General features: G+C 42.1%; 1 annotated feature.

The window, feature by feature from the left end:
* Positions 6749–6808: an enhancer, noted in NCBI's record as "active region_29511". NCBI's record gives its function as "activates an Ori minimal core promoter by ATAC-STARR-seq in GM12878 lymphoblastoid cells {active_cell/tissue: GM12878}" and the evidence as "EXISTENCE:reporter gene assay evidence [ECO:0000049][PMID:35858748]".

The following is an 11504-nucleotide window of genomic DNA, read 5'->3' as shown; positions in this document are numbered from 1 at the left end:
CCTGGTTATATCACAAGATCTCCCTGACTCATCTCCTGGGGTTTCAAAATGAGGAAACAGCTGTCGGGGAAGGCATGTGGGGGAAAACACCTTGAGGGAAAGGAGGCTGGTAACTGTTATGTTTCTTTTAAAAACACCCTGAGACCACACAAATTTGGGGGATTTCAGCCATTACCTCCTTTGAACTTCAGGGTAGTACTAGGAATTAAGTTGAGTGGAAGTAGTCACTTGGCTCCGTCCTCTTGAAACAGCTGCTAATCTATTCTCATGGCACCCCACTTTGAGATGACTCATCTCCCCTGTGGTGGGTGCCATGGTGCCTGGCCACATGCCCCTTTCAGAACTGAGGCACTCATCTTCCCAGGTGCTAACAATGTTGTCTGGTGCTGGCTTATGGCTCAGACCCTTTCTGGAAACTACCCTCAGTTGAAGGTAGTTTTCTCTTCCAAAGCCATGCCCCTTTCCTGCATTCAATGGTTGGCCAATGAAGGGTAGATACAAGGCTTGGCCCCCTCACTCCAATATAAGACGACTCTGAAGGACCATCCCAACCCTAGAGCTCCCTGTGGAATTGGATGAGGGGGCTGCGTCACAGTTCAACTTCTCCCTCTACCCAGCCCTGCTTCCTTTAGTACCTCCCAGGGTATGCCTCCCTGGAGTATGCTTTGATGAACTTCTTTCGCACTAATCTCCATCTCACACAGTCTGTTTCTAGGGAACCTGAACTAAAACACAGCCATTTTAAGTACAAGGCTGCATCTCGATGTCAGAATAACTGTACAGCCTTACTTAATTCTTTAAAAATTGTGTTACCTATAATTAAGTCACTTCTGAGGGGAGTACTGACTAGCCTTGCCCTTTGACTTAAGATTATAGCAGACAGGGCCCAATGCCAAAAAATGGTTTCGTTTAGGGATAGCAATTATCTATTAATAACTACAGCAAAGCCAGTAGGTTTATTATAATAGGACACAAAGAGTTGCTCATGTATTAACTGTTGAGGTAATTAATGTCAAATGAGACTTGAAGAAGGAAGAAGGGAAAGAAAGTCATAGATAGGTAGATAGATATCAATAAATAGATATTGAGCACATGTGATATAAGTAATGGGGAACCAATACGAAAAGATATATCGGCCCTTCCCACATGGAGCCTGCAGTCTAGCTAGGAAAACAAATATGTTATTAAAAGCAAGCATGGTAAATTGTAATGGGGGAAATGCAGAATGGCATGACGGTACCTAGCAGGAGCATATAACTCTGTCAAGTACAGGGTTGGGGCAGGACAGAGAAGAAAAAAATGTGTATATGGAACTAAATAAACAAGTAATGGACTGGGAAAAAGAGGACTTTAGGGAAGTTAATCCAAGGAAGTAATAATCTGCAAGGCAAAAGAAGGAATTTGCAGGAAGATGTTCTATTTATAATGTTGGAAAATTGGAAGCAACTCAAATGCCCAACAATAGGGGAATTATAATAATAGAACATTACAAAGTCATTAAAATGAAAATAATAAAGATTACATCCATTTCTGGAAATGCAGTGTGAAATAATATTAAATGAGAAAAGCAGAAATAGTGCATGTTCACTGGATTATAACTATATAAAAATATGAGTCTTTATAAACAATGGCTTAGAGACTATGTACCAAAGGAACAAAAATTTAATGTTTAATGTTTCCTTCCTCCCCCTTATTCCCTGATTACGTCATCTTTCTGGCCTGATTTATTTTTAAAGTTTTCTTTTCTTTGTTATGAAAGCCTTACATATCCATACACTGGTCTAAAAGTGTTTTTTTTTTTAATCTTTCAGATATACACAGAAGTTCCTGCTCTTCGCTACAATGAGGGAAAAAAGTGGCAACATCGATAGAGGCTAGAGGCAGAGAAATTCTAGGCAGACAAGGGTGGGACCTAGCAAAACCCCACCTTCAAGCTGAAACCCACAGCCCAAAGTGAGAACTTCTATCCCTGTTTGCTCGCTCTCTCCCAGTTGACTCTTTCTGAATAATGTCTTTCTACCTATTGAATGTTGCCTTTTCCCAAAATTACTTATGACCCTCCCTGCCCCCCATCATATCCCTATAAAGACCCCAGACTCAGTAGGTAGAAAGGGAGACGCAGCTTGACTGGAGAGAGGCAACTTGACTTCAGAGGGACAGCTGGACTTTGGAGGAGTGATGGCTTAACTTCGGAGAAGAGCTGGCTGGAGACTGCCAGATGTCAGGGAAGATTACCTGCCCGTCCTGCCTCCTCTTCAGCTCCCCTCTCCACTGTGAGACATTTCCATCCCTAAATAAAATTCTCCACCTCCACCATCCTTCAAGTGTCCATGCAACCTCATTCTTCTTCGACACTGGTCAAGTGCTCTGAACCCACCAAGTGCTGGTACCCAAAAAAGGCTGTCACACTGGCCCTTTACCCTCACTGGCAGAAGGCAGCCACCGCACACGACGAGGCAAGGGGCCCACTGAACGGATAACACTCCACTGTCCACGGACGGTGGAGCTAAGAGAGCAGTGTAACATGTCCTTTGAGGTTTCGGGGATTGCAGGCACCCCTACGTGGGCACCACCGCAGGGCCCTCATGGAGCCTGCTCCTGCCAGCAGCCAAAGCAGCTGGCCAGATTCTGCACTTGTTCGCCCATGCCTGGTCTGGCCACGGGGTCTGCACAGAGCCTGCTCCTGCAGGTGCACAATGCGGCCAGCTGGATTCCACACTCACTCAAGTGCTCTCTCCCTCAAAAGGTTAAGCATGGTGGGCCAAGTAAACAAGCCACCCTCCGTCCCAAGTCCGACAAACAGGTTGAGAAAATTCCTGCACCAACATCACCCTGGGGAAGAATAAGCATCTTGGACTTTGGACTTTTAACTTAGAGGGAACTGAACATTCAGTCCTTACCCCCTTCCCTCTCCCCCGTCTAGTAGCCCTCAGTGTCTATTGTTGCCATCTTTATGTCCATGAGTACCCAATGTTTAGCTCCCACTTATAAGTCAGAATGTGGTATTCGGTTTTCTCTTCCTGCATTAATTTGCTTAGGATAATGGCCTCCAGCTGCATCCATGTAGCTGCAAAGGACATGAGTTCCTTCTTTTTATGGCTGCATAGTATTTCATGTTGTATACATGCCACATTTTCTTATCCAATCCACCAATGATGGGCATCTTCTAAGTTGATTCCATGTTTTTGCTATTGTGAATAGTGCTGTAATGAACACACAAGTGCAGGGGTATCTTTTTGGTAGAACAATTCATTTTCTTTTGGATATATACCCAGCAGTGGGGTGCTGGATCAAATGGTAATTCTGTTTTATGTTCTTTGAGAAATCTCTAAACTGGCCACCATGGTCAAACTAATTTACATTCCTAACAACAATGAAAAACATTCTCTTTCCTCTATAGCCTCACCAGCATCTGTTGTTTTTTTTAACTTTTTAGTTATAGCCATTATGACTGGAGATACACACATTTTGATAAACAAGAAAGTTACAACCTTCTTAGAAGGCCATTTTGACAATATATCTCAATGACTTTTAAAAACTGTGTAGTCTTTGATTCAGCAATTCCTATTCTAGGGTGTATCTAGGGGTATGATGGTAAATATTTAACAACCAGATCTCTCAGGGGAACAAAAAGCCTTGAATCTGTAGGGTTTGTCAGTTTCCATGCTGTAAATATTCCCATCGTGGCCAATTCCAAGTTACCAATAGAATCACAAGAGACATGAAAATATATGTCCACAAAAACCCTCATATACAAATATTTGTAGCAGCATTATTCACAATAACCAAAAAGTAGAAACTATCCAAATGTCCATCAACTAGTGAATGGATAAACAAATTGTGATCTATCCATACAATGGAATACTACTCAGCAATAAAAAGGAATGAACTACTGATACACAAAACAACATAGATGAATTTCAAAATAATCATGTTGAATGAAAGAAGAAAATAAAAGGAGGTATACTGCATGATTCTAATGACATACAATTCTAGAAAATGAAAATTATAGTGACAGAAGGCTTGAGCAGCAGTTGTTTAGGAATGGGAAGATGCCAAAGGGAGGGATTATAATGAGGCAGGAGAAAACTGTCAGAGGGAATGGCTATGTTCATTATCTTGATTCTAGTGATGGTTTTATTTTTCTTTTTTTGAGGAGTCTCACTCTGTCGCCCAGGCTGGAGTGCAGTGGTGCGATCTCGACTCACTGCAACCTCCACTCCTGGCTTCAAGCAATTCTCCTGCCTCAGCCTCCCGAGTAGCTGGGACTACAGGCATGTGCCACCACACCTGGCTAATTTTTGTATTTTTAGTAGAGACAGTGTTTCACCATGTTGGCCAGGATGCTCTCAAACTCCTGACCTCAGGTGATCCGCCCACCTCGGCCTCCCAAAGTTCCGGGATTACAGGCGTGAACCACTGTGCCCAGCCATGGTGATGGTTTTAATGGTTACATACATGTTAAAACTTATCATATGTATGATATGTACAGTTTGCTATATGTCAGTTATAGCTCAATAAAACTTATTTTTAGAAAAAGCTAGTCAGAGTTTGCTCTACTCATATCCCCTATGATTTCCTTAACATTTTATTGCACCCAGCCTGACTTCCAATGGCTAACACCTGCATTTTCATCAGAAGCCTAACTTGGGGCTGCCAAACCCCACATCGCCATACAAGCTGAGTGGAAGTGCCTAGGAGCTAACAGCTTCCACCCCTCTTCTTTACCCTCCCTCCCCTGGGCAGCCTTTAATGATCAAAAAGCATGAGGGAATAAATGCCCAGCTCCCTTGCCCTTTTACCATGATAATTGTACAGTGAATTGTTAATACTGGTAGGATTAAGTTCTAGTTCTAGCTAATGGTAGCTGGCCTAGTAAAGTAGCTGGCCTAATAATGAACCCATTGATGGGCTGTCTTTCCCTCCTTGTATCACTTCTCCACTCCCCTGCCCACATCCTTGCACCCAAATAAACTGAATGTACCTTAATCCTTGACCCAAGGTTGACTTCTGGGGGGACCCAATTCAAACAGAGTCAAAGCTTTGATGTCTCTTACATTACTGGAAGACAATACTGGAAAAGATGGACAAGTTACAGGAAGAAAAAACATTGGTTAAAAAGATCAAAATATTTGTGTAGTTTGGAGTGAGAAAATAAGCAGCTTTCCTGTTGCTTCTCCCTGTACTAATTTCTGCAACAAATATTTGTTCTTGTCGAGCATCTCATCTCAGCCAGAAACTATTCCATGTGCTGGAAATATGGAACAGAAGAAGACAAATAACACCTCTGCACATATACAACACATATTATAACACGGGGAAACAGACAATAAACATAATAGACACAAAATATCAGAGAGTGATTATTTTCAAAGAATTAAAGTTGGGTGAGATAAAGATAAAGGACTGATGGTATGGCGGTTTTCGATTGAGTGGTGTAGTAGATTATTGTTCAACAATCTTCCCCTCCATAGGAAGAGTGTTTTTCCTCTACATTCATGTTGACTGTGTAAATTGACTTGGATAATGGTGGCAGGGAAATACTGGGTAGAAAAGGGAGGAGGTCCCCGGCGAGGGAACCACCCTCAAGCCTGGACCCATGGTCCTAAATGAGAACATGCATTCCTGTTTTCCCACCAGAATGTTGCCTTTTCCAAAACCACCCTGCCTGCCACACTCCCTATCCTGTGCCCATAAAAACCGCAAGCTCCACTGGCAGAGGAGCAGGGTAGCACACCAAGAAGGAGAGAAGAGCAGAAGCGTCTGAACATTGAGAGGAGACGAGGCAGCTGGACATCAGAGATTACTGTCAGAGAGGAGTTTGGCTGGAGACAACTGAACTCCAGGGAAAGATTATCTTCCCACTCCATCTCCTTTCCAGCTCCCCATCCCGCTGAGAGCCACTTCCATTGCTCAATAAAATCCTCCACATACACTACCCTTCAATCACTTCATGTGACCTGATTCTTCTTGGATGCCAGACAAGAATTTGCGACACACTGGGTGCAGGAACCCAAAAAGACTGTCATGATGACTTCACTGAGCTGTTTAGCACTTAATCCATCCACAGATGGCAAAGCTAAAAGAACATTGTTTGTAACACATGCCCTCTGGGGCTCCAGAGGTCACGGGCAACCCCTAAATGCTGCCACAGGCCAGTACAGGGTTCATGCCAGCACCCAAAGGCACTTGCCCCAGCTCCTGCACCAGTTCACCTGCGTGCTCCTCCTCCCACAAGCGGTTTGAGTGCAGCAGAGGAGTAAAGGAGCCACAGCCCTGTCGTAAGCCCCAGGAAGGGGTCAAGGGAACTCTCCCATCTCAATGGGAGTGGGAGACAGACAGTGTGTGAATTCTTAGTTTAGGCCTTAATAGGATTGAGGGTTTTCATTTGCCCATTTAGGAGGCAATGCAGACCCAAAACTGAGACATAGAGCAAGGCTGCCCCAATCACCCCACAGGCCTATGAAGATCAGAATAAATACTTGCTGTTTTAAGCCACTGAATTGTGAGGTCGTTTGCTATGAAACCATATTATAGTAATAGCTGACTGATTTGCCTAGTCAGGGGAGTCTATCTGAGAAGATAAACTGGGATCTGAATGATAAGAAGTCAGTCCTATAAAGATCATTCCAGGAAGGGAGAATATCTAATACAGATAAAAAGATGCAAAGGTGGGAGTTGCCTTGGCATGTTCGGGAAATTGAAACACAACTTGTGAAGCTGGACTGTGTGAGTGGCTGAGTGGGAGAGTGGCATGGAATGAGACTGAAGGGGAATCAAGTAAAGGCCAGCGAATAGAGGGCTTTGCAAATGACAATAAGGATGTTGGTTTTCATTCTAACTGCATTGGAAAGCCCCTGGAGAATTTCAGCAGTGTAGTCACACAATCAGATTGATTTTTTAAAAGATCACCCTGCCTGCTGTGTGGTGAATAAATTAAATGAAGGACATGCATGCTTTTCTACTAAACTAGGCTGCAGTCTCAGAATCTTCCTCAACAGAGTTCCTGAACTACTAAACAGAGTTAAAATATATATGCCAACTTAAATTTAGGTAGTGATAGACACCTAGATAAAATACACGTAGAAAATAGTTTGAGGAACTGTTTCAGTCATATGTAACAAATCATCCCAAAACGTAATGAGTTAACAATCATACATTAGCAAAAAAAAAAAAATCATACATTTGCTCACAAATCTGCAATTTCGGCCAGTCTTGATGTGGACAGCTCATCTCTGTTCCATGTGGAATCAGCTGGGGAGGCTCAACTTAGGATTGGAGGATCCCCTTCCAAGATGACCTCATTAATATAATTGGCAAGTTGAGGCTGGCTGTTGGCCAGGGACTTTTGTTGTCTTCCATGTAGAGATCTTTACGTGGTTGCTTGGAATTTCTCAGCTTGGTGGATAAGTGATCATTCCAAGAGGACAAGCCCCAATATGCATGCCACATTAAAATCCACTGCTTTTAAGAAAAGACTTGCTCTAACAGTCAAGGGAAAGATGGTCTATGTACTCATAATAGGTTCCTTTTTTCACTTAGTTTTCAATAACTGCATAAGCTTCTTTTTAGCACCTATAACATCCACCTTTTTAAAATGTATTCCATTCATAGTTATAACTATATAAAAATGTAAATACTTAACATTATATAAATGAAGAACACATTATAACAGTGATTGTTCATTTTCAAAATATTAGAAAGCATTAGGGACCAAAAGAAAAAAGAAAAAGACATAAACCTTCACAGCATTCCAAGTTCCAAGGCAGTAAATCAGACAATGGTGGGATTTTTCCTTCTTCATCATATTGTCGTTTTCATATCCCAGTAGGTGTAGAGTAGATGCAAACACAGTGCCACTTCAAGCTTGTAATGTCAACCTTTATGGCATAAACAGGGAGTATATTTGTCACTCTTCCTTCCCCTCTGTCCTTTCTGAACATCTACCTCTGCAGTCACCACAGCTTTGCCCATATCTGATGCAGTTCCTTTCACCTGAAAGAACCATGCTGACTCACTGAAGATGAATAGCAGCTAGTGTATTCCATTTTCATCACCTGGATGACCAGGCATTTGGCTTTAATCTTTCAAGGCATCATGTATTGCTATTGATTCTATGTAGACAAAGAGGGAGCTTTTGTGTAATTGTGTCCTGTCACTATTGTGACCCTGAGCTGTTAACAGGAGATAAGCTAAGGAAAGGATGGCCAACCCCATGTGGTCAGAGATTCAGACTCCATTGTAGCTCTTGTATTCTTCCTTGAAGAAAGTAAAGTTGGGACAATTAGGATTGATTTCCTCTGAATCAACTGATCAAGGGAGAGGACATATTCATTCAATATTCTCTCAAAAAAAATAAGTAAGAACACTTGGGGAAAATGTGAGTTAGATCAGGGTCCTGTAAAGTCTGAGGTCTGAAATTCATTTTGTATTTTTTAAAATTTAAGTGTAATTTACATACCATAAAAGCACAGATGTAAGTATACAGCTTCCCATGCCACCATTCCAATCAGGTTATAGAGTATTTCCATTATCCTAGGAAGTTTCCTTGTAGCTCTTTCTAGTCAATACCCCTGTCAGAGGTAATCACTTTCTGACTTCTATCACCATGGCTTGGGTTTACCAGTTCTTGAACTTCATATAAATGGAATCATACAGTACTTTGTGTGTGTGTCTTAGGCTTCTTTAACTCAATACAATATTTTAAAGATTTATACCTGTTGTCGAGTGTATCAGTGGCTCATTCCTTTTTATTGCTGAGTAGTATTTAATTGTATGACTATTTCAAAATTTGTTTATCCATTCAACTGTTGATGAACATTTGGGTTATTTCTAGATTGGGGCTGTTACGAATGAAGGTGCCATGAACATTTTTGTTTTGTTTTTGTGTTAGAATCTCACTCTGCCGCCCAGGCTGGAGTGCAGTGGTGTGATCTCAGCTCACTGCAACCTCCATCTCCCGGGTTCAAGCAATTCTCATGCCTCAGCCTCCCGAGTAGCTGGGACTACAAGCGCCTGCCACCACATTGGGCTATGTTGTTGTATTTTAGTAGAGATGGGGTTTTGCCATGTTGCCCAGGGTGGTCTGAAACTCCTGAGCTCAGGCAATCTACCCGCCTCAGACTCCCAGAGTGCTAGGATTACAGGTGTGAGCCACCTCACCAGGCCAAACATTCTTATCAGTTCTTTATGTGTACATGTGTTCTATTTCACACTCCACATACTTCAGAGTAGAATTTTTGGGTCATAGGATAGGTCCATGTTGAACCTATTCTTAACTTTTCAAAGTGGTTATACTATTTTATATCCTCTCAATATCCTCACCAATACTTGGCACCGTGTTTTAGTCATTACAAAGCTAAAATGTTGTCTTGTTGATGATACATTCAATCTTTACCTTCAAAATCCATGGAGCCAGGACATTGGAAGTAAAAGAAAATGTCAGCCCAGAGTCTTCCCATTCAACCTGGATATGGGTCCAGATCTGAAGACATACTCAACTGCTGCTCACTCTGGATCAGCATGGTCTTAACAATCCATAAACAAAGGGCTTTATGGAAAACTGATATGATTCCATATTCAGCAGGACTGAGATACCTTCCATCTTAAACTCCCTCTTCTCTAAATCTCAATGCAAATATTCAACCAAATATATGATATGTAACTAATAACCAGATAGAACTTGACTGAGAAATCTCCATTTCAGAGTATTATTTATAATACCAAAAAACAACTTGAAAATCCCTGCTGAAATAAAATCCACAGGTTTATCACCACAGGAGAAGCTAAAGGCCAAGGTAGAAACCACAATACTATGGTATTACTTGACCCTCAAAATACCAGTCAAACCCAAAATACAGTCACCTCATGACTGTAATCAAATCTCTTAACCAGCCAGTGTTCTAGAGGCCTCATCTGTAAAACAGGTGTGCCAAATCGGAGAGACAGAGATACTTGAGGAGAACTGGTTAAGTGTGAAGAAATCCTTAAAAACAGTTTCCTAAAAAATACAAGACTGTTCTTATTTTTAAATCATTTCACAAATATGCTTTGCTTTACATTTAAAGAAGAAGCAAATAATAATAATAATCAAAGGCAAAAATGCACTGCTTTTGCCTTTTCTTTTTATTTTATATTTTGTCCTTTTTATCTAGCTATTTCTGGAGTACACAACTAACAATAAAGAATGCTCATTGACAATTTCAGTGATGACACAGATCAACTCTATTTAGGATAGCATCTTCTTTGCAGAATATATTCCAAAGCTTCCTGGAGTTAAAAAATAGTGGAAAAGAGCATTAGAGAAATTAAGAAGTAAAGAAAGAGGAGTGGTGCTCTTTCTTCAGCTGAGATTTGACAAGCCTTGGTAATCACAGCCGCTGCATATGGCAAAGCTTTCAGCACCCTGGGAGGAGAGCTTCACCTTAGGGATGTTGTTGTCTTAGTACATTGTGAAAGCTCTTTCTCAGCTGAGCAGATGATGTTAAGGGGCACAGTCCATCCACCTAACAAGCCTCCTTGTGCACCTGTAAGTAGTTGTAATCTACCAGCGACCTATTGCCAGAATTCATTTTACAGTATGACCTCACTAACATCGTCAACAATTTCTTGGAAACTGCAAGTTTATGCAAAACAATGCCTAAGGAAACCAATTTTTCCATAAGCTAATTGTTATAAACAAGAGTTAAGGCGGCCGGGCGCGGTGGCTCACGCCTGTAATCCCAGCACTTTGGGAGGCTGAGGCGGGCGGATCATGAGGTCAGGAGATCGAGACCATCCTGGCTAACATGGTGAAAGCCCGTCTGTATTAAAAATACAAAAAATTAGCCAGGCGTGGTGGCAGGCACCTGTAGTCCCAGCTACTCAGGAGGCTGAGGTAGGAGAATGGCATGAACCCAGGAGGCGGAGCTTGCAGTGAGCTGAGATCGCGCCACTGCACTCCAGCCTGGGCGACAGAGCGAGACTCCATCTCAAAAAAAAAAAAAAAGTTAAGGCAGGGTACGGTGGCTCATGCCTGTAATCCCAGCACTTTGGGAGGCCGAGGCAGGTGGATCACTTGAGGTCAAGAGTTCAAGACCAGCCCGGCCAACATGGTGAAACCCGGACTCTACTAAAAATACAAAAATTAACCGAGTGTCATGGCACATGCCTGTAGTCCCAGCTGCTCAAGCACAAGAACTGCTTGAACCCAGGAGGCAGAAGTTGCAGTGACCCAAGATAGCACCACTGCACTCCAGCCTGGGCGACAGAGTGAGACTCAGTCTCAGAAAAAAAAAAAAAAAAGAGTTAAGTTCCTATGGCATATTTCTGATCACAAAACATCACCAAACTTCTAAATAAAGACCAAGACACTTCTAATATTAAACCTTGGAATACATGTGAACTATACAATGTTTAAGAAAGATTCAATAAAACAGGTAAGACTATCTACCCAGTGATTCCAGTTTAGGGTCATGGGTGGCCAGAGTCTATCCAGGCAGCTCAGGGAGCGAGGCAAGAACCTG

Source organism: Homo sapiens, chromosome X (assembly GCF_000001405.40).
Source record: "Homo sapiens chromosome X, GRCh38.p14 Primary Assembly".
NCBI lineage: Eukaryota > Metazoa > Chordata > Mammalia > Primates > Hominidae > Homo > Homo sapiens.
Note: the sequence above shows the minus strand (reverse complement) of the source record. Positions and strands in the feature narration are given on the sequence as shown.